Source organism: Homo sapiens, chromosome 10 (genome assembly GCF_000001405.40).
Source record: "Homo sapiens chromosome 10, GRCh38.p14 Primary Assembly".
NCBI classification, from domain to species: Eukaryota; Metazoa; Chordata; class Mammalia; order Primates; family Hominidae; genus Homo; species Homo sapiens.
The window spans coordinates 4809298-4835062 of record NC_000010.11 but is presented as its reverse complement, the minus strand read 5'-3'; the positions used below and the strand labels follow the sequence as shown (position 1 = coordinate 4835062).

The window sequence follows — 25765 nt, the reverse complement described above, 5'->3', positions numbered from 1 at the left end:
ACACTCCTAAACAACAGTGGAAGAATGTCACATGTTCCAGCCTGATACACATGAAAGAGGCATTTTCCATGATGAGCTGAAGTAACTAACAGTCTCACTTTAAAGCCACATCCCATGTTGCCATTTATCCAAGCCTCCACAAAATTGCAGCCCGGGACTCATACTCGGACCCTGATCTAATTGTCCAGCATCACACAAGGCCTAGCAGTTCCTACTGGCCAGAAGACATGCTGACGATGCTGCATTATTCTCTTCTGTAATTTGTTGGATGATCTGAGACCTTTTCCTTTTCTACGACCCAGAAATCCAAAGACAGGAATCTGCTAAAGGATGAGGGCAAGGAAAGTGTAACAAATGTCTGACCTGAGCATATGCTTCTGGGCTCCAATAATCTAACTTAAACCTTAAACTTTCTGTATCTTAGTTTCATCATCTCTCCAAGAGGGATGTTAATAGTGTCAACTTTGTAGAACTGTCATGAGAATTAAATGAGTTAATATGTGTAAAGTACCTAACATAGTTCTGGGTACATAATTACAACAATGCTGGCTGGCAATGAGTGTAATACAGCTGTAGCCATTGTTTTAATTATGATTTTCTGCATGCAATGAATTTCAAGGCACAGACATCACTCTGGTTTTGCCCTCTGGGTATCTTCCCCTCTTAGTCAGTGTCACTAACGGACAGCTGCCCACATCGTTTATGGAAACTAGATACAAAGCCTTAGTTAAGTAAAGCTGTGCTAGGAATGAAGTGTTTTTTGTTATTTTACTCTAAAACAGTAACCAACAGTGTGGCACACATAAAGGGACCTTCTCACAGGTTGGTATGTAGAAGACTGCTGAGCAGCAGTCACCCATTCCATTGTAGGAAGAACATCCCTGCAAGGGCTTCTGTATTTCACAGGTGTCAACTGTGTGATCAGGCCCTTGCCCAGGCAGGCTGTCATCACAGCCCAGGGCAAATATGCAGGGACATCCTGGCCAGGACCCGTGTGAGGCAGAAGCAGGTTGCCTAGAGTAGGGAAGTTGCACGGCCAGACTGGGGTAGCTTAGTGACAGAGCCATGGCTCAGATGCATGCTCCAGACACACTGTGAAGCAATTAAGAGAATAAAACCAAGTGGAAAAGTCAACTACCAGCACAACCCACTGGACCCTGCTGCAGGTGAACAAGCAAATATCTCCCATATTGCAAAACAGCATTTACTCCCCAAAGAGAACAGAACCTGCAAGAAGAGACAAGGCCTAGGAATTCACTGGGAACTTTCTCTGAGCAGCAGTATTTCCTCATCTGATCACTGCTTTCACCTAAAAACCTAAGGGAAAAAAATCTACTGCTCTCTTGGCTTGGAAAAAAAGCGACTGGCTTGAAAGACAGACCTGTGGGGGCCTCAGAGGTCAAGCCAAGCCTCTCCTTAACTGAGGCCCAGAGATATCAAGAGGACTGCCCAAATGCCGCAGCTAGCATGTGGCAGATGCAGCCTGGGAACCCCTGCCCTGAATGCTGGTCCATGCTCTCCCCACCGCAAGACAGGGTGTGAGCACGGGGAGGAAGGTCCTGCAAACTGCAGAACGAACTACCTACTGAACGGTACCTTGAAACCCATGGGCCAGTGTATGAGGTAGAGGTCCAAATAGTTCAGCTTCAAGGCCTTGAGACTCTTTCTGCATGCTGTTTCCACCAAGGACTTCTTATGGCAGGTGCACCACAGCTACAAAGGAGAGGGGACCAGCGTCACACGTGCCCACCCAGAGCCAGCATGGCACCCATTCTGTAGCCCCACAAAGCTACTGTCTTGAACCCAAAATAGCCAAGATGAGATGACCACAAATACAACACGGCAAGTTCTGATGGGAGGACAGGGACATTATCCTCAGAAGAGTTCCAGGACACCTGCAGGGAGAGGCTCCAAAGCTGGGATCCTTCTGCCTGACTCCTCCTCAAGGGAAGCTCAGGAATCCAAGAGATATTTGATGGTTATTTGGATTCATTGGGACCAAAAACAAAAACGAAAATGAAATTCCTGCAGGCAGAAAAGATATGACGAAAAATCAGAAGAATCTCTATCTTGTGTTTCTCACTTACACAGACTCCGTATTAAGAGTTCTCTGTTCCTAAGGCACTGTAACCATGTGGGTTAGCCTATAGGTGAGTTAGCTCACACTGCCTTACTTCTTTTAGCTATCTCCTTCCACACTCTCATTATGTAGAAAAACTTGTGTTTTTCCCCTCATTTTACTTTTATTGACTGTGACATAAGCTAACCTGAAGGCTCCATCACAGCAAGGGAAAAACATGAAAGTAAAGTAAAAGAAAGTAAAGTAAAAGAAAGTAAAAGAAAGGGGAATCAAATAAATGAAAACAAACGAGCACAGTATCTTCACAAAAATAAAAAAATGAATGCTGGAAGTAAATGTATTCCATTGTTAATCACAGTTGTCTCCATGTGGTGCTTATATGTGTGATTTATTTATTTCTAATTACATTTCTATGACTTTTCCAAATTTCCAAAATAATGAACATATTTCCACTGCTGACTACGATCCACACAGAAGCAACTTGCTCCAAATTGCAGGGTGAGCCTTAGAAATCTCCAGTTGCTCACATCCCTACCTGGACTATTCAGAAGACATTCTCCCCGCTTGGCCAAGCACACACCAAGGCTGCTCTCTTACCACCCTCTGCTCTAGTGCAGATAGCAATGGTGCCTGAAGAACATTAACTTCCATAAAGTAAAACAGAAGGCAATTCAACTATAGAAACAACATTGAATCTTGAGGTATGAAACTTTAGCTGGGAAGTTACTCAGGAAATTCTCAAATCCAAAGTCTCATTTTACAAATAATGAAGCTGTGAGCCTGAGCCATCTAATCCCTAATACTCACAGCTCCTGAATGGCAGCTAGACCATGAACCCATGACTCCTGATCTCATGGTCTTACATTCTGCTTCCAAATCAAAAGCAAAGGAATTCTTGAATTCTCCACTATCGTAGTCCACTCTGCATCTTCCACAGGTCCTGACTCCCAATACCCTCCACATCCATTTCCTCTTCTCCCTCCCTCACCCACTGTGCCAGTGCAGGCCTTCATCATCTTCCACCTGCACTGCTGTTAATGTCTCCTACCTGGCCTCCTGCCTCTGCCTCAAATGCAAGCTTCTTTCACCTACTAAAATATCCTATATACAACACAAGTTGCACTCACATATGATACAAGCTGCCCTATTTAAAAATGAAACAGGGCTCCTCTGTCTCTAGGTAAAAGCACAGCTCCTGACAGGGCACAGCTGAACTTCCATGGCTTAGCCTATCCACCACTCAGCCTCACTTCTCATTACTCCTGCAACCTGACATTGTGTGGTCCAGAGAGACCAAGTGATTTGGTTTGGTTGTGTCCACAGCCAAATCTCATCTTGAATTGTAGCTCCCATAATCCCTACGTGTCATGGGAGGGACCCAGTGGGAGGTAACTGAATCATGGGGGCAAGTTTTTCCTATGCTGTTCTGGTGATAGTGAATAAGTCTCGTGACAACTGATGGTTTTATAAACGGCAGTTCCCCTGTACACTTTCTCTTGTCTGCTACCATGTAAGACGTGCCTTTGTTCCTCCTTCGCCTTTTGCCATGATTGTGAGGCCTCCCCAGCTATGTGAAACTGTGAGTCAATTAAACCTCTTTTTCTTTATAAACTACCCAGTCTCAGGTATGTTCGTACAGCAGCATGAGAACAGACTAATACACCAAGCTTCCTACAAACCCCTGCACCTGCCGTGCTGCTTCCTGCCTTATGCCTGTGCTCAAGCTGCTTCCTCCACACCCAGAGTTTCTCCTTCAACAGATGTGGGGTAGAATTTGGAATCTGCATTTAACAATCACCCCAGTGATTCTGAATTTAGGAATCGCTGTGTAAACAGACTTCATGAGGGCTAGGACTTTGTCCTATTCACCACTGTAGTCAAAGTGCCCATCACTAACTGAATTTTGATAATGTATTGTTAATTGGGGGATATCTGTGTACTCCTACCTGAATGACCAAGTAAATAATATGAAACAAACCTGCACACAATATAATTCAGCATGCTCATGAAGCTGTGAATATTCTTGTTTATTCCGATTTGAGTATGAAACAAAGTCATCAACTCCCATAAAGAAAGTAGAAAGCCCTCCAGAGATGTAGCATTACCCAAGCTCTGCCAGCCTTGCATAGAGAAGCCCTACCTTAGTGGCAATGAACAGATCCTCCCGTCTTACAGCGCCTTCCTTGATCTTGCAACGGATCCCTGCTCCAACCTCCCTCTCATTGTGGTAAAAGTAAGCACAGTCGAAGTGCCGGTACCCTGCGTCAATGGCCTCTTTCACTGCCTCGGTCACTTTCCCTGGAGAAGCCTGCAAAACCAACAAAACAAAGTGTCTTCTCACAGTCAGAGGAATCCAACACAAATCTCCCCTTTCACCCAAGCATGTGGACAACATAATACATAAAAAATTAAGTCACTAATTTGGTACTAGTATAATCAGTCTAAAAACAGGCAATATCAGTTATGAAGGAATTTATGAATAATCTAAGTTCCAACTCCTTTACATATTTTGGGAAAAAAAAACTATAGGTTATTTTTAGTGTCTGCAGAAAACTGAGCTAGATGGTATGCTTCCTGAATGATCAAAGCAATAAAAAAGTACAGAATGAATAATAACTGAGATGCAAAGAGGCTTAAGATTTATCCTGTATACTCAGATACCACAGCGTCCAATAATAAAGGCTGAGGTGTAGACTCACACGAAGGTATCCATACAAAAAGAAGTATATAACAAAACCTAAATGAATGTATAATGCTACAAGCAATAAGGTAGTTCAGAAAAGAGAACAGTCACTCTAAATGAAGCTCAGGCAAGGGAAGGGACTAGAACTAGGGAAGACTATGGGGGTGGGCGGGTTTGCAGTCTCATTAAACTGAAGACTGACAAGGGCTTTATAGTTCACAAACCACTTTCTCACTGGAGCTTCACGGTAACCCTAGGAGTTAGAGCAGCATAATTATCTTCATTTTATAGGCAACAGATTCAGAGTGGTTGAAAGCTAATGAACCAAGTATCCATCTTAAGTTAGAAAAAGAACCCAAGAAATTGGATGGAAAGATAAAAATATGATTAAGAATAACATCAATAAAATAGAAAACAAAGATGTAACAGAGAAGATCAACAAAACCAGAAGTCAGTTCTTTGAAAAACTTCAGTAAAATAAACAGACTTCTGGCTAGGTTGATGAAGAGGCCAACTTTTTAAAAAACTGACACGAATGGACAGTAAAACATGCAGATAAAATGGACTTAAAAGAAAATATTACCAATAACTATATGTCAATAACTTGGAAAAATGAGATAAAATGGGAAAATTCCTAGAAAAATTTAACCCAAGAATAAAGCTTGAATAGTTACATAATTATTAAAGAATGCAAGGAATTCAAAAAAAAGAGAAAACCACCAGTTTCATAAAATTTTCAAGAAAAAAATCATCTCAGTTTAACACAGACTTTCAAACAACAGAAAAAGACGGACTTATCTCAACTCATTCTACAAAACTAGCATAACCCTGAATCAAAATCAGACAAAAATATTAAAAGTCACACATTCATCTTATTCATGAATACCGTTGCAAAATTCATAAGTAAAATAAAAGCAAATTGGATGCAACAATATTTATGAAAAGATAATATACCACACCCATGTTGAGTGTATCTCAGATATCTAAGGATGGTTTGATATTAGAAAATCTGTAATTCATCAATATTAACAGATTAAAGTACAAAAACAAAAGTCAACTCAATCAATATTTGTTAAGATTCAATACCAGTTTAGATTCAAAATCTAAACTCCCAGTAAGTCGGGGAAAAGAATTAATCTGATAAAGAGTATCAATATTAAAAAATATCCATCTTACATCCTTTAAAATCAGGTACAAAACAAGAATGGCCACTGTGCTGGAGGTGCTTTCCAGAAGCACCTGAACAACTAAGAAGAAGCAATTTTAAGCTTAAAGAGTGGAAAAAAAGGAAAGTAAACTACCATTATTTGCTGATGATATGATCATTTGTGTAGAAAATCCAAACAAATGTAACACAAATTAACAGAAATAACAGTACAGTTTAGTAAAGTGGCTGGAAGTGTAATGAATATAGCAGGTGAAACAAGTAGAAAATGTAACTTCAGAGAAATATAATTTCCAGTAGTATAACACACTATCAAGAACCCAATAATAATTCCAACAAAAGACATATATTCTCTTCAGGAAAAACTATACAACCATATGAAAAGATGTTAGAAATGAACCATATTCAGGACAATTTATTAACAGAGAAGAATACCATGCTTGTAGAAAAGTTAAGATTTAACATTACAAAGGTGTCAATTATCTCCAAGCTGGTCTACAGATTTAATGTAGTTCCAATCAAAACCCCAATAAAGTTTCTCATGGAACCTTCTAAGCTAGTTCTAAAACTTACAGTGGAGAGTAAGGTGCCAAAATAAAAAGCCAGGACCCAGGTACATGCATCTGTCAAAACTCATCAAATTGTACACTGTAAATCTACAACAGCAGGGAGAGGTGACCTGCCCTACTAGGTATGGGCGCTTATCAAGGAACTGTAGTAATTAAGACAGCACCGATCAGGCACACAGATGGATCAAGTGGCCCCTAATAATGAAGAGCCCAGGCTGAGGTCTCCAGACATCTCACCGCTCCCCTTGCTCTCTTGTGCTTCAGCCATCATCTTGAGAACACTCCCTAACTAACCGCACGAGGACAGGAGATGTGCGGAGCCAAGTGGAGTAGCCCCAACCATCCCAACTGAGCCCAGCCAAGGTCCACAGAGCTGCTCTCCTGACCTCCCGTGTGGGAGGAATACACTTGCTGCTGTACACCACTGAGGTCTGGTGTTTGGCCATTGATGCAGCATTTCTGGGGCAACAGATAACGGATAGGTCTGTGATGTTTATTCACTATTAAAAATAGACGAGTAAAAATAAGCCTTTGCATAGACCAGTGATGAGTGATTATGATTAATCCAATTTGATGCACCTGCAGTCCAAGAAAAATAAATAGAATATTTTGACCTGTTAAGCACAGTTTTCACTAATTTTTCCTTATCCTGTGTGCACGAAAGTCTGGACTCCTGCACCAAATTGTTGCAGAAATAAAGGGAAGCAAGAGACTCAACAGTTTAATCCATCGAGTGCTTACTGAATGAAGGGCTGACAGATGCACGTCCTTCACTAGATGCTGAGAACCAATATGAACAAAACGACACTCCTAGCCTCTAAGAGTTGGTAAGCAGGTAAGAGAAATAATTTAAATAATATTTTCATGAGCAGGCCTTGAACATTCTGACTCCTTCAGTAACTAACTTCCTATATGACTTCTTATAGCTTTTATCAACAACTAAGTTTAGCTTTTTTTTTTTAAAGATCAAATTTTAAACGCTTTTTAGTCAGTGCTGTCTCAAATCACTGGCAGGAATTGTGAAGTTCAAAGCAGAGAAAGGTCGTAGAATAGAATGGTGGTTATAAGACGCTGGGGGCTGGGGGAGGTGAGGAAGGAGGGAATGGGGAGTTGCTGATCAAAGGGTACAAAGTTTCAAACACACAGGAGACACAGCTTTTAAGACTTACTGCGCACTAGGATGCCAACAGTCAACAATAATTTACTACACATGTGTATTTCAAAATAACAAGACATTTCAAACATCTTACCACAAACAATAATAACTGAGAGAGGTGATAGATATGTTAATTAGCTTGATTTAACCACATTGCAATTGTATACACGGCTCAAAACATTACGCTGCACCCCATAAATGCACAGAGCGATTATATGTCTCAGGCATCAGGGCAGGTTGCTTCTAAACAGGGAACAACATGAGATCCCAAAGTTTCTTTTAAAGCCTAATCAGCAATTCCAATTTTCCTTTTTTCTTTTTTTTTTTTTTTTTTCCAGCAAGGTCTGGCTCTGTCCCCAAGGCTGGAGTGCAGTGGCGCCATCAAAGCTCACTGCAGCATCGACTTCCTGGTCTCCAGTGATCCTCCCACCTCAGCCTCCTGAGTAGCTGGGACCACAGGCGCGCACCCCCAAGCCCAGCTGATTTGTTCATTTTTTGTAGAAACAGGGTTTCGCCATGTTGACCTGGCTGGTCTTGAACTCCTGAGCTCAGGCGATCCTACTGCCTCGGCCTCCCAAAGTGCTGGGATTACAAGCCCGCACCCCACGCCCGGCCCCAACTTTTCTTTCTCTCTTTGCTGGAGAGGAGGCTTCGAGGTTCCCTGTTCCGGCCGAGTCCAGCGCCGCCAAGGCCTCCCCTCGGCATCCCCGCTCCAGTTCTGAGTAACTTCAAGGGCTCCGCCTCTCCACAGAGCAGCCCCGCCCAACGCCGCGGCCGCAGCCCCAGAGTCTGAGGCTTGGCTGCCGAGGTTCCCGCTTCTCCCAGAGAGCGCCTCGGCGGGCAGCACCGACTCCGTTTTAGGAAAGGCCGGGCCGGGCTGCTTGTGGGCGGTGGGCGGCCACCTCAGCAGCGCCTTTCCCGGGCGTCGGCCAGGCGGAGGGGAGGCCGCCGCACTTCTCCCCAGCCCCGGCCTGGGTCCCATCGGGCGCCCCCAAGTCCCGCGCTCCCCTAGGTCAGGCGCGCCTCCCTGCCCGCGACCGCGTCACCTTCCAGGAGCTGAGGCCCACGGCTGGGATATCTCCCATGGCCGCCGCCGGCCGCCCCGCCGCCCCGCCGCCCCGCACGCGACTACCGACAGGCACCGCGCGAGCTACTGCGGCGCTGGCGACCCGCCGTTGCGACTGGCTGGAAGTGCCTTGTGACGGCTGACACTCCGACAATGGCTGGAAGCATGAACGCAGGGCTTCCTGACTGGCTGCTGGTGTCGCGCGCCGGGCACTGACTGGCTGGTTGTATTAAGGACGGGCACCCCGATTGGCTGGAGGCGCAGAGCCAGCTGGAGTCCCAAATGGCTGGAAGCACCGCGCTCTGGACATCCTGATTGGCTGGCGGCATAGACGACGGAATTTTCGATTGGCTTGCAGAGCCACGCAGGAGCAGGGAAGGTTTTACAATCGGCTGGCATTGCCGCTCACGCCCCCACCTTAGGTGTGACCTCCTGGTTGCCTTCTCCCTCGCACCGGGTGCATATGCGACTGAGGGTAGGGCAGAGGTGCTAGGTTGATGGGCAGAGAGTCTTCACCGTTCCAGGGCCTCGCCATGGCCGGGCCATCCTAGGGCAAGCTCTAGGGTCAGGGTGCAGAGTCCTGCGTCCCCTGGGGCACAGGGTGCGCGGGAGTGGGTCCCCGCTCTCTTGTACCAAGGATGGCCATTCTCAGGTGCCCCGAGGCCCCCAGTCTGGGAGAAGCGTGCCTGGCCTTGGTTCCCCGTCAGGGAGCCACTGTGCCCTTGGAAAATGCCTTCCACTCCCTGGGTCCTGGCCCAGAGCGGCTGGGGCTTGCAGGACAGCGGGGGTCCTGGGTGGTGCAGGGGAGGCCGAGCCCTGCATGTAGAGGGGAGCGTCCTTGCTTGCAGCCTCGGGCCCCCGTTTGGAAGTGGATGGGGTGGACTGGACACCCCCCTTATGAGTGGACTGGGCTCCCCCAGGGCCAGTGGAGGGAAAGAGGGGTCAAGGGAGCCTTCCGACGCCCCTCTTATCTCTCCTGGAGCTTACAGCTCCCCCTTCATTGCCCCCCTCAGCCCTGGGAGTCCTACTGCCTTGAGGACACCCACACCCAGATGAGGGCTTTGTTTCTAGGTTCCTTGCCTGGGTCTTCAGTGCTGGCCATCAGGGGAGGCGCTGCCCATTCTGCTCAATGGGGCGGCTGCAGCCAGAGAAACTCCCAGGGTCACTCTGGGTGTCCCCCTGCCTCCCACCCAACTTGCATCTCCTGTGAGCATCCATCTCCTCAATGTGAGCTCCTCACAGGTGGGAAGGGGGATCTTCGATACTCTCATTTATTCATTCAGAAACTGTGCCTGGAGCACTCACCTGTGCACGGGGCAAGTTAGGCCAGGGTGCAGTGCTGAAAATGACCTGCATGGGCCTTGCCCTCAGGAGCTCACCATCTGTAGGAATGAATGGACAGAGCATAAAAGCAAATGCATGAGAAAAAAAAAGAGCAGGTGCTATAGTAAAATAAAGCAGGTGCTTGTGGTGAGAGGCGGAAGGGACAGAGTGAGGGAATCCTCAACACCTCAATGAAGTGGCATTTATGCTGCAAACAGAAAGGCAAAGAGTGAGGGAACCAGCCCTGCACAAGTCTGGGAACAGTATTCCTGGGGGAAGCTCTACTGCACTGCAATCGTGTATCATGCTATTTCATTGTTTTAACAGAAATTCCATAAGTCTATGACGTTGAGCATCTTTTACTCTGCTTCTTTGCTATCTGTATATCTTTGATAAGGTGTGTTTTCAGGTCTTTTGCCCATTTTTTATTTGGGTCATTCATTTTCTTATTGTTGGATTTTAAGAGTTCTTTGTGTATTTTGGATAAGAGTCCTTTATTAGATGTGTCTTTGTAAATATTTTCTCCCAGTCTGTCTGTAACTTGTCTTTTCATTTCCTTGACATTGTCTTTAGCAAAATAAAAAAATTTTTATTTTAACGAAGTGAGCTTATCAATTATTTCTTTCATGGCTCATCCCTTTGATGTTGTATTTTAAAAGTCATTGCAAAGACATAAGAATTATATAATGGACTTCGGGGACTCAGGGGGAAGGCTGGGAGGGGAGTGAGAGATAAAAGACTACACATTGGGCACAATGTACACTACTCTGGTGATGGGTGCACCAGAATATCAGAAATCACCACTAAATAACTTTTCCATGCAACCAAACACTACTTGTCGCCCCAAAACAATTGAAATAAAAATTAAAATTAAAAAATCAGAGACTAGACAGAAAAAAATTAAAATAAAAATTAGTAAATTAGAATATCCTGGAACACAGTAATCAATATAAAAAATAAAAATAAAAAAAATCACTAAACCCAAGATCATCTAGATTTTCTCTTATTTTCTAGAAGTTTCATAGTGTTGTGTTTTACATTTAGGCCTTCGATCCACTTTGAGTTAATTTTAATGAAGAGTGTGAGATCTGTGTCTGGATTTATTTTTTTGCATGTGGATGTCCAACATCATTTGTTGAAAAGACTGAAAGTTCTCCAGTGTATTGCCTTTGCTCCTTTGTCAAACATCAGCTTATTATATTTGTGGTGATCTATTTCTGTGCTATTTTGTTCCATTGATCCATTTGCCTGTTTCATAAATACCACACTGTCTTGATTACTGCAGTAGATTTATTGTAAGTCTTGAGGTCAGGTAGTGTGAGTCCTCTAACTTTGTTCTTTTCCTTCAATATTGAGTTATCTATTCTGTGTCTTTTGCTTCTTCATATGAACTATGGATTCAGTTTATCCACAAAATAATTTAGTAAGATTTTGATGAGATTACACTGAATGTTTAGATCAGTTTGGGGAGAGCTGATGTCTTGACAATATTGAGTCCTTGTATTCATGAACATGGAATATCACTCGATTTATTTATTTATTTTTACATCTTTCATCAGAGTTTTGTAGTTTTCCTATATAGGACTCATATGTATTTTGTTAGATTTATACATAAGTATTTCATTTTCGGGGGTGCTAATGTAAATGGTACTGTGCTTTTAATTTCAAATACCACTTGTTGAATTCTGGTATATAGGAAAATAGTTGATTTTTGTATATTAATCTTGTCTTCTGCAACCTTGCTATAATTGCTTAGTAGTTTCAGAAGCTTTTCATCAATTCTTTGGAAATTAAATTAAGATAGCAAATAATGTCACCTGTGAACAAAGACAGTTTAATTTTTTTCTTCCCAAACTGTATATCTTTTTTTTTTTTTTTTTTTTTTTTTTTAGACAGAGTCTCACTCTGTCACCCAGGCTGGAGTGCAGTGGCGGGATCTCGGCTCACAGCAACCTCTGCCTCCTGGGTTCTAGCGATTCTCCTGCCTCAGCCTCATGAGTAGCTGGGATTACAGGCATGCATCACTATGCCTGGCTAATTTTTATGTTTTTAGTAGAGATGGGGTTTCATCTTGTTGGTCAGGGTGGTCTCAAACTCCTGACCTCATGATCCACCCTCCTTGGCCTCCCAAAGTGCTGGGATTACAGGCGTGAGCCACTGCACCCAGCCTGTATACCTTTTAGTTCCTTTTTTGTCTTATTATATTAGTTAGGATGTCCAGTACAGTGTTGAGAAGGAGTGGTGAGGGGACATTTTTTGCCTTTTCTTGGTAGAAGTGCTTTTTAACAGTACAGTTTCCCCATATGTGCCCTATTGAATCAGAAGGTTATGGTGGGTGTTTGGGACCTTTGGTCTGGAAGATTTCTAACGGCCTCATTGACAGATGCATTTGTATGTCATGGTATAACTTCACACTCAAAATACTTTTGTCTTTGTTATGGCATTCTGCTATAGCTGCTAAGATGCTGAGGCTTAAGAAATTCTTCATGAACACTTATTACCTCGCTCTCAGCTATTGTCTTTTTACCCTTGTCACTGTCTTTAGTGGATACTGGGATTTGCTGATTGTAATTGTCGTCCTGGTGATCTGCTTCCTGTGTGATATACTAGATCCATTAGTGTCTCCTGCATATCCCGTGGCTGGGGGTGTGGAGAGTAATAGATAAGATAGCCTCCCATGGAAGTAGCTAAAGGGTTTGTGTGTTTGGGAGACGAGATTAGGAAAGTTCACAAGTAATAATATAAACTAGAATAAAAAAATAGCGTGGGATAAATATAAATGATATTCAGTGGGACTCTAAAAGGAAGAAATTGTATGAAGTTGTGAGGGATAAATGATTATTGAAATCAGCCTTCAAGATAAGAAGTACTGATGAATAGAAATGGGGAGAAATAATTTTTTGGTGGTTGAGCAGTTTTATTTAAAGATTCTCAACATATAACACATTGTCAAGGGAAAAGGGAGCATGAATATGAAGTGCAGCATGAACACACTTTTTAAAAGTGCATTTTGGTAGCTCCATGGATAGCCTGTTCTTAAGGATGAGGGAAGTTAACGCTGGGAGTGAGTGAATATTTTAGGTTTAGATATAGGCATTTCTTTATCTAGTTGCTTTATTGGGTATCTTACACTGAATAATAATGTATAGGGAATAGTCTCTCTGGGGCATCTTTGCACAGTGGCTCATTCTAAATCCCCATCACTGGTGCATGCATTGAGGGAATAACACACATCTGCTACAGCCTGTGTGTATGTTTCTCAGTGTTTGACACAGCTTCACACAACCTTCATCATCACCTCAGCAAACTCAGGGCTAGACCTTTTGAGACAACAGAGCAACAAGTGTGATTTCTCTGCACACATATGATGTTGAGAGATGAGGACAGGGAGAAGTGCAGAAACAACAGCACACCTTTTGTTTTTTTTTTTTGCAGCTGGACAGATAAGCACACTCAGGGGAGAAAACGTAGGGTCCACTAGGGATGAGAGAGTAGAAACCAGCAACAGAAATGCCAGCTGCCCATGAAGAATCAAAGAAGCAGCAAACAAAAGCTAAACGCTGTCCTGCTGGTGGCAGCTCTGCTAAGCCTGTTTTGATAGACTTGAATTTTTGCACACCTCACAACAAAGCACTCAGCCTTTCAGTTCTTGCTTTGAGTCAATTGTTCTAATAACATCATTAACCCGGGGAACAGCACTAAGTGATTCTGTTTGGGTTGAAGCCAGTAAGAAGCCCAAGGACGAAATGTACCACTTCATGCCGAATCTTTACAAACACCATTCCTGGCACTAAAGGTTTACTTGACTTTTCTCCCCAGTAGCCAAGGGACCTATCTTCTGCCAAGGTTTCAATGGAGATGGCCAATCGGAGTCATCTAAGCCAAAATAAACCTCTTTTTGTCCTCCAAGAGCAGATTTGCTTGTGTGAATGATGCAGTTGTTATCTTGCCAAGTCAACAGCTTTAGAAGTGAATAGACTACTTAGAGGCCGGGGATTATACATGTACAAAAAGGGGAAAGACTCCACAAAGAGGATGTGAGATTTATGAACTTTGAGAAATAGCATTTGGCTGAGCCAGTGACGACAAGATCAAGTAGGGAAGCATGGGCCTCTGCGCCGAACCACTGTGCTAGAGCTTTGTGGACAAGAAATTCCATTTGTCTGGTTATTCACCAGGACTCCAAGTATACTGTTTTGTCTAATAAGAAGCTAAAATGGCCAAGTTCAGCTCAAAGGAAATACCACGGCCACTCAGGCAGCAATACTAGTTTACAGAATCTGGACAAAATTTAACTGCTGTAATGGAAGAGGGCTCAAGAAGGAATGCATGAAGTCTATACCTTAAGTTCTGTTTAAAGTGACACAAAAATAATAGCTTGTCATGTGAGCAACCAAAAAAAAAGCATCATGTGGCCAGATGCGTTGGCTCATGCCTGTAATCCCAGCACTTTGGAAGGCTGAGGCGGGTGGATCACAAGGTCAGGAGTTCGAGACCAGCCTAACCAACATGGTGAAACCTTGTCTCTACTAAAAATACAAAAATTAGCCAGGCGTGGTGGCGCATGCCTGTAATCTCAGCTACTCAGGAGGCTGAGGCAGGAGAATCGCTTGAACCTGGGAGGCAGAGGTTGCAGTGAGCCAAGACTGTGCCACTGCACTCTGCCCTGGGTGACAGAGCGAGACTCTATCTCAAAAACAAAAAGCATCATGTTTTTTAGTCATAAATGGATTACGACAGAAAAAAAAATCACTGTGGTGTACTGTCAGAAGGCCCTCAAAACACTTTCCAGTATTCAGAGTGCAGAGGAAAAAAATCGGGAGGAAATTCTGCTTGTAAGTGCTCATTAGACATTCCCAATAAAGGAAAATCCCTTCTTCAAATCTCACATAAACTGGCCCCACATACACAGAAAGCAACCGGTAAGTTGCTAAAGTAAAGGATGAAAAGGCAGCCACAAATAATAGTCCACGAGTTTCTGAGGACAAGATTATGATATTATAAGGAGCTCTTTTTCACTGAAGTTGCCCAACGCCAACTATCCTATCTTTTACCACAACTTAACTGTTAGACTTTCACCAGAAATGTCTGCCTTATCTTTGTCTCATGATGAAAATAAAGACTGTCCAAGCAACCACAAGAACCATAAATGTGGTTCTCATCGATGGGGACACACGGGGGACAGCGACTTGTCAATCTCAGACTGTGCAGGCATATACCCTTCAAAGCAGTGGTTCCTCTGCATTATAGCACTGTGTGACACAGAGAAAAAAAATAGAAACAGACGATGGTCTGTAGCAAGGTTGCTTCTGGAGGTATTAAATTATGCATCTCTCCTCTCTCTGCTTCTCCTTCTTCCCTCTTTCTTCATTTCCTGCTGTACCCTCTCCATGTGGCTTTAATAACTGCGAGCTTCTGCCTGTATCTGAAATGGCTACAGGTGTTGCCATCACATTACCAATGTGTTGATTTAATAGAGTATTATTGTGGCATTTCACTCCACTGCCTGAACTTTGTGGAAAATGGCAACCTTGAATGGGGTGGAAGACACTCATCTCCCCCTCAAGTGAATTCTTTGCAGATTTATGTCTATCAGTGATTGATTATGACCGACCTCCACATGTTATCCAGTTCCAATAAAATTTTAGTTAAATAGAAGCCTTAAGGAGAGTAATCCCTGCTCTCTCAAACATCACTACAAGGGGATCCCATTTCTAGTTCAAATTCAATCTTGAAGTAGTTTCCTTTTAAGCTGAGTCAGTTAGAATTAACATGGATTGAAAGAAAAAAAGATTAAACAACTTTTGAAAATAATTGTAACTACTGAAATGACAATAACTGAAATTTATTGAGAATACCGTACTTCAGGTATTGTGCTAGGACATTTACCTGGCTTATCTCATTTAACAATTATTTGGTGGAATCTAACAATTTTAAATTGCTCACAGTATTGGTAAGTTAAACTAGCAATTTGTTTTTATTTTCCCACACTGAATTATATATTAGATGCCTTTATTTTTTTAGTTTTGTAATTTAAAAAAATGTACCCAGGTCTTCATTGCAGATATTCTTCAGTATGGAAAACTCCCCATTTCCTCTCTACTTCTCTTTACTACCACTGTGCTTTTTTTTTTTAAGTTGGAAAGGTAGCCCATATTTTAGAACTATAAGATAATTTCCTGTAGGTTTTTATTCTAAATTTTTTGTTTAGAATAATATGAAAGCATTCATTTATGGGATGATATCTAATATTAGATAATATTAGATAATAATATTGTTGATATTATATGTCAGCTTTTATAGCTCATAGTCAAATTTACAACAATTCAATCTCAGATGTCTAGAATATATTTGTCCTTTCTGTAAATGATTTGCATCTTTTCATAAAATCTTAGTTTGAACTACCCAGATATGCCTTCTTGTTTTAGGGTGCTTCAAATGTCTTGGGCAAGAATTTAGGAGAATAATATAAATGATAAAGATGTAAACAAATGAACAATTACCACATTCTTTATAATGAAAGAATTGAAACTCTAGATGACAAGAAGATGGTATATATATGAGTAAATGTTAAAGCCCCGTCGTGTACACATGAGAATGTGGAAGGAAAGGGTCTTGTCCCCCTCGATGGGGACACACAGGGGATAGCAACTTGCCAATCTCAGACTGTGCAGGCACGTACCCTTCGAAGCAGCAGTTCCTCTGCATTATAGCACTGTGTGACACAGAGAAAAAAATAGGAACAAATGATGTGTCTGTAGCAAGGCTGCTTCTGGAGGTATTAATTTATGCATCTCTCCTCTCTCTGCTTCTCCTTCTTCCCTCTTCCTTTATTTCCTCCTGGAGTTGGGCCTTACAGCTCCTTGTCTGAGGGATCTGGGCAGGGAAGGCAGCAGAAGCTTCCAGAAGACAAAGGCTCTTCAGGCCAAGTGCCCTGGATACAGGGTGAAGAGAAGGAGCTTTGGAAAGAAAGATCTGAGGGTAAAGCCTGCAATGCCTCTCCTGGACCCAAGGATGGGTGAGTGACTGCTCTCTGGCCAAATGGCTGCTGCTTCATCCCTTGGTGAGAGGCACTCAGAGGGACGACTCGCAGCCTCAAGGAGGACGCCCTGTTCCTCTGGCCCAAAAGCAGCGAGAGCCTGATAACCGGGAGACAAGAGCAGGGGCCATCCACCTTCAGCAGGGACTGGCTATCCAACTGGCTTCTTCACCAGCCTGGTTGGAATTAAGTCCACTGGAAGGAAACAACAACTATTTTTAATATTAATTTAAGTTGTTTTTTTGTTTTGTTTTGTTTTGTTTGAGACGGACTCTTGCTCTGTCGCCCAGGCTGGAGTGCAGTGGCACAATCTTGGCTCACTGCAAGCTCTGCTTGCCGGGTTCACGCCTTTCTCCTGCCTCAGCCTCCCCAGTAGCCGGGACTACAGGCGCCTGCCACCACGCCCAGCTAATTTTTTGTATTTTTAGTAGAGATGGAGTTTCACCATGTTAGCCAGGATGGTCTCGATCTCCTGACCTCGTGATCCGCCCACCTTGGCCTCCCGAAGTGTTGGGATTACAGGTGTAAGCCACTGCGCCTGGCCTTAAGCTTTTACATTGGAATTTGTTTTGCCTTAAATTGGAAGAATAAAGACTGATTGGATGAATTGTGGAATCTATAGAAGGGAATATTCTGCCACTACTGAAATCCATGTGGTGCAGCCACACATGCTGATAGGGAAAGTGTCCAAGGTCCCACATTCAGTGAAAAAGCAAGACGTGTGATATGGTTTGGCTTTATGTCCCCACCCAAATCTCATGTTGACTTGTAATTCCCAGTGTTGGGGGAGGGACCAGGTGGAAGGTGATTGCATCATGGGGGCAGATTCCCCCTTGCTGTTCTCGTGATAGTGAGTTCTCATGAGATCTGATGGTTTAAAAGTGTGTGACAGTACCCGCTTCCCTCTCTCTCTCTCCTGATCGGCCATGTTAAGATGTGCTGGCTTCCCCTTTGCCTTCTGCCAAGGTTGTAAGTTTCCTGAGGCCTCCCCACCCATGCAGAACTGTGAGTCAATTAAACCTCTTTTCTTCATAAATGACCCAGTGTCAGGTAGTCATTTATAGCAGTGTGAGAACAATTAATACAACGTGGAATTTGATAAATATGATACATACATTCAAACACTTAATATACTGTATATACATACACACACATATACACATATGCATACATATACAAACATACACATATGTAAATACACACATACATACATACAAATACACAGACATGGGCACATAGACATACACACAAAGATGTACTCACAGACACACAAATACACAGACACAAGTACACAGACACACACACATATACTGTATACACACACGTGCATACACATATGTAATATGCATACACATACACAGAGACACAAATAAACACAAATAGACACACATACATACACCCACATAGACACACTCACCCCAAAGACACATACACATTCATATACACACACACACCCCATCTATCTATCCATCTATGTGCTCCATATGCACAGAGAATTTTGCAGTAAATGAGAAATGTAACAGTGATTACCTACGGGAGGGAGCAGTAAAGCATAAGACAATTTTTAAAATGCTGCATGTTGTGAGACTTTTAAAACACACATGTCTTAATTTATGATTTTTAAAAACGGTTTATAAATGGAAGAAATGTGAGAAAAGACATTTTTATATTTACTTGCACAGGCAAAAAATGTAAAGCCAACATATTTTTCGGAGCCTCATTTTCTAAATAATTATCTTCTTATTGATTATTTATAGATTGATTCAGAGAAAAATCACAAATTGTAAATCAAGTTGATTAGGATGTACTTCACTTGAGCTTTGGAAATATTTTGTGAATTCATTAATTTATAAATAAAATTGAGGGAAAATAATGGTATAATTAAAAATAGTTCCTACATGTTAGTGGACAACTTGCCTTCTAAGTTAGGACTTCAAAGTTGGTGAAACCCTTGTGCGCTTTATAGATTGGTTCTTCCTGCCCTCTGGTGGCCATTAATCGTTCCTACATATTAGTGGACAACTTGCCTTCTAACGGAGGACTTCAAAGTTGGTGAAACCCTTGTGCGCTTTATAGATTGGTTCTTCCTGCCCTCTGGTGGCCATTAATCGTTCCTACATATTAGTGGACAACTTGCCTTCTAACGGAGGACTTCAAAGTTGGTGAAACCCTTGTGCGCTTTATAGATTGGTTCTTCCTGCCCTCTGGTGGCCATTAATCGTTCCTACATATTAGTGGACAACTTGCCTTCTAACGGAGGACTTCAAAGTTGGTGAAACCCTTGTGCGCTTTATAGATTGGTTCTTCCTGCCCTCTGGTGGCCATTAATCGTTCCTACATATTAGTGGACAACTTGCCTTCTAACGGAGGACTTCAAAGTTGGTGAAACCCTTGTGCGCTTTATAGATTGGTTCTTCCTGCCCTCTGGTGGCCATTAATCGTTCCTACATATTAGTGGACAACTTGCCTTCTAACGGAGGACTTCAAAGTTGGTGAAACCCTTGTGTGCTTTATAGATTGGTTCTTCCTGCCCTCTGGTGGCCATTGCTCAAAATGCAGACAGAGCTGTGTGGAGGTGAAACAATGAAACTTTTTTTGTTTTTTCGCTTTGTTTTGTTTTGTTTTTGAGACGAAGTTTCGTTATAGTCACCCAGGCTGGAGTGCAATGGTGCAATCTCGGCTCACTGCAACCTCCGCCTCCCGGGTTCAAGCGATTCTTCTGCCTCAGCCTCCCGAGTAGCTGGGATTACAGGCGCCTGCCACCATGCCCAGCTAATTTTTGTATTTTTAGTAGAAACGGGGTTTCACCACGTTGGCCAGGCTGGTCTTGAACTCCTGACCTCAGGTGATTCGCCCGCCTTGGCCTCCCAAAGTGCTGGGATTACAGGCATGAGCCACTGCACCTAGCACAATGAAACTATTAATACAGCCCAGGCAGTGACTCACAGAAGCCTGAGAAATCCTCTCAATTTCCTCATTTTAATTTTGCAACATAATCTTGCTATCTTGATTAGTCTCACTCGATATTACTGACATAAAATCGAATTATGCCATCTCAAGTATTTCAGTTATATATTAAATTATCGAAAGCTACAGTAATTTTCTGTAAAACTTTTACATGTATAGTATATTGTTAGACCTTACCACAATAAGGGGTGTTTTGCAAATAAGAAAATAAAAACACTTTTAAGTGAACTTATTTTTTTTCTTACTGTTAGGTAAGTCCTTTAAATATTCTATATTTTTGTTTCACATTACCACTCCGTATGTTCTGTCAAGTGTACACTTACTATTCAGATTCCACGAGGAATAGAGTGACTCCGAGGGAGGCTGGTACACTTAGTAAGTGGCAGGCCCAAGGGTTGGAAAACAATCTGGCTCCTGAGTTTGTGTCTAAGCTTTCCTTCTTTTAAAAATCCATAGGGTTAATTGTGAAGTAATTTTTAAGCATTTAACTAGAATGTGTTGATAATGTGCAACTTGTAAAATCTTATAAGATACAATTTTTGTTTAAGGCAATGTTTGTTTACCTTTTTTTTTTTTTTTTTTCCTGAGACAGAGTCCTGCTCTGTTGACCAACCTGGAGTGTAGTGATGGGAGCTCTGCTCACTGCAACCTCTGCCTCCCGGTTTAAGCCTTTCTCGTGCCTCAGCCTCCCGAGTAGCTGGGATTACAGGAGCATGCCACCAAGCCTGGCTAATTTTTGTATTTTTAGTAGAGACGGGGTTTCACCATGTTGGTCAGCCTTGTCTCAAACTCCTGACCTCAAGTGATCCACCTGCCTTGGCCTCCCAAAGTGCTGGGATTTCAGGCGTGAGCCACTGTGCCCGGCTGGTTTACCGTATTTTTTAATACACTAATATGTGTTAGCCTCAAAGACCTAGTTTCTTCTATAAAGTTTATAAACCAGGCTTCATGATTTTAGGGGAGATGACTTTTTAGAATATCTAAAAGGAGATGTTTCATTTTTTAAACCAAAATTTAGAAGCAGAAGCTACCTGGCACTAGTGTCCTTTTATCCATCATGAAAGTCTAGTCCCTTTGGTAGGGGACAAATGGATGCTTGTGGCTCAAGAGAAAGTAAACCCTGAGAAAGAGTTACTGAGTTAGAGTATGGTTTCAGATAAAAACGGTGATTAACTTCAGAAGATTTTTTTTATAATTATGGAACTCCAGACTAAACATTCTTAGGGTTTCTGGTCCAAAAGAGCTTCATTAAAAAAATATATATATATATACTTGGACATTCCACTGATCGCCGCTGTTTCAGGTGGGGTCATTTTAAGCTGTTAGTCATCTCTGGACCAGTCGCTGTGATCATTCCAAATGATTTCCCCCTTGAATTTCAATGACATCTATGCTGGGCTCAAGGGCTCATGCCTGTAATGCCAGCACTTTGAGAGGCCAAGGTGGGTTGATCACTTGAGACCAGGAGTTTGAGACCAGCCTGGCCAACGTGGCAAAATCCTGTCTCTACTAAAAATACAAAAAAAAAAAAATTAGCTGGGCACGTTGGCTCATGCCTGTAATCCCAGCTACTCTGGAGACTGAAGCACGAGAATTGCTTGAACCCAGGAGGCAGAGGTTACAATGAACCGAGATGACACCACTGCACTCCAGCCTGGGCAACAGAGTAAGACTGTCAAAAAAAAAAAAAAAAAGAAGAAGTCAATGACATTTGGCTTATGTATGCAACTCATACAGTGCTGACTTTAAACAGCCAGTACAGTAGGAGAAAGGGAACGACCCCCAAGAACTAGAGAAGAATCATCATCGCATAGGAGTTAAGCACATAAGCCCCATGTGTAACGGACCAGGTCAGGTGCTTGCTGAGTCACCAGTGATGCATCTGGAGATGTGTGACTCCCTGCAGCATCAAAGCAACTCCTGGGAAGTCTCACGGAGGCAGAAGAGAGACTCAGTTATAAATGCAAATGCTAAATCTGGCCGGCTGTACTGCCTATGTGAAGACCATATTAAAATAACCAGGCAACTTTTTTGATGTTAATTTAATAATAACAGCTATGCAAAATACTTAAAAACCAACTGTTTCAATTCAAGCAAGTCCCACTTCCACCCTAGGGGTGGGGTATTCTTTTTAACCCGACTTTCATGATGGATAAACCAAGGCACAGAGAAGTTCAGTAACTTTTCCAGGACTCCAGTCTCGTAAGTGACAGGGAGGACGGACTCCTGGGTCCACCCTGGCATAGAAGCATACTGTGTTATCTGTGTAACGGCCCGCCTGCCGGTGCTGCAAGCTCCCGAGGATGGGAAATGTGTGTTACCTTTCCACCGGAGGCCCAGCACCTTCATCACTGCTGCTTTCCTAGCACAGTGTGTTTGTTGGTGTGGAGGAGTGTTTAGAAGGCAGGAATTTGCTCTTTTTTTTTTACATAGCACTGCCCTGGAGACAGGGACCAGATCTTCAAGAGGGAACATTATTTATTCATCATCGATTATGGTTGCAGTGTGAAACAGAAAGAATACAGACACAAAATACACAGTACCTGCTCTCACAGGCCTCACATCTTCTTAAGATGACAGAGTGATATTAATTTTAAGATAAAATTCTTATTTAAAGGCTGGCTTCCATATTAATCCTAAATGAGTGTGGGCTTCATATTGGAGTTTCAAAATACAGGAATCAAAAGCTGATAGAACTGAAAAGGGGAAATAAGTCTGCAATTCTAGCTAGAGATTTCAACACAGTAATGGATAGAATCAGTGCCTAGACAATCTGTGGAAAGACAGAAGAGCTGGACAACTCTACCCTGCCCGGGACATTAGTGACCACACCCAATTGAAGCAAATACACATTCTGCTCACAGGCATTTGGGACATTCACCAAGAGAGAAGAGAACACATTCTGGGCCATAAAATGAATGTGTGTTGGAAAGGATGGAAATTCTGCCACATTCGCACCCCCAGCTGCAAAGCCTCTCTCTGGGTGCAGATGGAGAGAACAAGCCTGCTGTTGGGGTGACAGGCAGCACCTGTGTGCAATTGTACAGGCCTGCACTAAACAATCTCAGAGTGTGCAGGAGAGGAGAAGGTGGTGAGACATGTGGAAGGGGAGCCATCAGCAGGACACAACTCCTTGCAGCAACTGTGGGGCTCAAGAGAGGAGTAACAGCCAGGAATATTCACTGGTTCCTGGCTTGGGTAATGGTGTGGGTTATGATTTAATTCACTAATCATAAAAGTGCAAGGCAAGAGGAAAGATTTGGAATGAGTCTGTGCATCTGTGTCATTGTGTGTGTGTCCATGAGTTTGTGTGTGTTTGTGTGTGTCTCTGTGTGTCTGAGGGTGTCTGTGTGTCTGTGCATGTGTTGGTGTGTGTGTGTATGTGTGTGTCTGTATTTCTGTGCATGTCTGTGTATGAATGTGTGTGTCTGAGTGTGAGTGCATTTGTGTGTGTATAAGTGTGTGTGATTAGTTCAGATTTTCTGTCTTATCTATTGGAGAGAATACCAATTTGAACACAAGTGAGATAGCTCTCCTAGATAAATGGATGTCCAGGTCAAGCGCATTCAGGCGGTGGACAGGCCCAAAGTTGTGAGTGGAGAGTGGGGAGGAAGAAGTGATGGGAGAGGGTCCTGAACACCTCCATTAACAAGGACACTGATGGATGGGCAGAAGCTGAGACCATGAAGCTTGTACTGCAGAACTAGGAAAGGAGAACCCAGTGGAAGGAGTTTGGCAGGCATTACTGGTCGTCCACTCAACAAGCATTGCTCCTCCATCCACACTGGCAGAACCTGGCCACCCCTTTCTTCGTGAATCAGGACAGTCCTGATGAGCGTAAGCCTGTCCTGTGGTCCCCTTCCCTATTGGATTGAATCATTTAGAGGGGGGAATGGCTCCTAAGCCCAAATAGGACTTTTTCTACTTAGGAACTCATAAGCTAAGGGGAGTCTTTTCTTTTTAGGCTGTGAATCATTTATGCTGGGACAAGAGGCTGCCGAAGGATTCCTAGAAAATTTTTTCAGGTTCTCAAAGCTGGGGAAGAAACAATTTCCTTGCATTTGGTGGACAGTGATGTGTCTGGTTTTGCTCTTTCCAAACACAGGTACTCTCACACTGTCACATGTCACACACATGCACACAGCACTCTCTGTTTCTATTTCTCTCTATTACTCTTCCTCCCTCCTTCCCTCTTTCTCTTCCTTCCAACTTCCTATGCCTTCTCTCAAACACACACACACACACACACACACACACACACACACCACGAAAGCTCGAGTGGATCGAGCCCCCAAATCAGCATAACATCTGAACATGGCCACATTGAAAAAGGCAGCAGTAGCGCCTTGATGATGTGGGCCCTGATGATGAATTAATCTTGGGGACTCCAGATATTGGGAGCTCTTGTTGCCAAGTGTGGCTAGTTTGCCTGAGATAATAAAATTTCCTTATAGAGTCTTTCATTTTTACCCATTTTTTAAAAAAACAAAGCTAAAGACATTCCGATTTTTATATGGTGGCATCTCAGACACTCGCCTGAAAAGTTGCTTAAAGGAGGGGAAGGTGAAGCAGTGACAAGTTCATTGGTGACATTCACACAAGCGGCTTCAGTGTGACCCACATGAACGCAAGATTCATCGCGTAAGATTCGAGAGTAAATGAAAAGTGAGGAGGCAGGATGTGTAGGCCCTGCACTCTTCTCTACAGAATTTGGCTGTGAATGGAGAGATTGGATGAAAGCCAGATGAGGTCAGAGTGACGATACTTTCTTGTGTTTTGGGTTTAGATTTCTTTTGCCCTTGTTGTTTTAGTTTTGCTTTGTTGCCTTTTTGTTAACGGGCATTGGACTGTGTTTATTTGCTGAGGGCGAGGCTTCATTGAAAGAGGGAAAACTTGGCACAAAGAAGAGCTTGGATGTCATCAGCGAGTAGAGAAGCAGAGAGAAATGGCTCCTTAAGGAGAGGTGGGAGGACAGGCCTCTCTCCTCAGGAACTAACAACTGGGTTGTCTGCTTCCGCTGCAGAGTTGTCCTGCAGCAACCCTTACACACTTCTCAGCAGAAAACCGTAGCTTCCTCGAGGCTATTAGAGCTTTGCCCCTATTAATTCTCTACTCCAAACAACACCATTAAGACTCTGGCCATTTGTGAATGGTATCTGCGAAGGAACAGTAAATATCCCATGATGTTGCTCTCAAGCCCCAGCGCTGACGACAGAGAACAGCCCGACAGTTTTTGTCCTACGGTCTCCTAACCAAGGATCTCCAACAAAGGTGGAAAGAAGATACCCTGGGTCTATCCCAAGCCTCCGTTTCTCAGGTTCCTTCATCTGTCTGTTCATCCCGTCTTCCATTCCTGGATCACCCGGTCTTACCGGACACTGCTATAATTCCTCTGTGTAACTCACAATGGAAAACCTGTTTACACATTGGGAAAGGGATGGAACCAACAGTTCTATGAGCCTTTTGGAATTGAAAACTTGCTGTGTCTGTGCTTAGATAGATATATTTGTAGTAAAGAACTCTCTGCATTCATTGTAAGTTTGATGTAGTCTGTGAGTCCAAAGGGCATTACAGACAGTGAACGCAGAACTGCAGAAGAGGATTATCTCACTTCTAGTCACTCTTCGCTCCAGCCAGTGCTCCACAAAGTTGTAGGGACGCTGGCTAATGAGACACAAATCATGGTGACATCTTTCCTCAAGAATCCACCCATGTCA

General features: G+C 43.1%; 1 protein-coding gene across 19 annotated transcripts in view, besides 3 other annotated features; it reads right to left on the bottom strand.

The window, feature by feature from the left end:
- AKR1E2 (aldo-keto reductase family 1 member E2) overlaps positions 1–10090 on the bottom strand; it is a 48265-nt gene extending 38175 nt beyond the window's left edge. For 13 of the 19 annotated variants that reach the window (NR_073125.2, NR_073127.2, XR_007062003.1 and 10 more), the window contains exons 1-3: positions 8700–8856; positions 4221–4388; positions 1597–1713 (exon numbers count right to left, since the gene is read on the bottom strand). Coding sequence is in view for 8 of the 19 variants with exons in the window: in XM_047425811.1 (XP_047281767.1) it covers positions 1597–1713; positions 4221–4388; positions 8700–8738 (324 nt within the window). In the remaining 11 variants the exon portion in view is untranslated. Of the gene's footprint in view, positions 1–1596; positions 1714–4220; positions 4389–8699; positions 8887–10024 lie in introns of those variants that run through there. The other 6 variants (XR_001747220.2, XR_930518.3, XM_011519715.3 and 3 more) reach the window with 3 other exon arrangements.
- Positions 8350–8429: a silencer, noted in NCBI's record as "silent region_2078". NCBI's record gives its function as "represses an Ori minimal core promoter by ATAC-STARR-seq in GM12878 lymphoblastoid cells {active_cell/tissue: GM12878}" and the evidence as "EXISTENCE:reporter gene assay evidence [ECO:0000049][PMID:35858748]".
- Positions 18985–19632: an enhancer, noted in NCBI's record as "NANOG hESC enhancer chr10:4857623-4858270 (GRCh37/hg19 assembly coordinates)". NCBI's record gives its function as "activates a minimal SCP1, AML or CMV promoter by ChIP-STARR-seq in primed H9 embryonic stem cells {active_cell/tissue: H9 hESC(primed)}" and the evidence as "EXISTENCE:reporter gene assay evidence [ECO:0000049][PMID:30033119]".
- Positions 19499–19548: an enhancer, noted in NCBI's record as "active region_2923". NCBI's record gives its function as "activates an Ori minimal core promoter by ATAC-STARR-seq in GM12878 lymphoblastoid cells {active_cell/tissue: GM12878}" and the evidence as "EXISTENCE:reporter gene assay evidence [ECO:0000049][PMID:35858748]".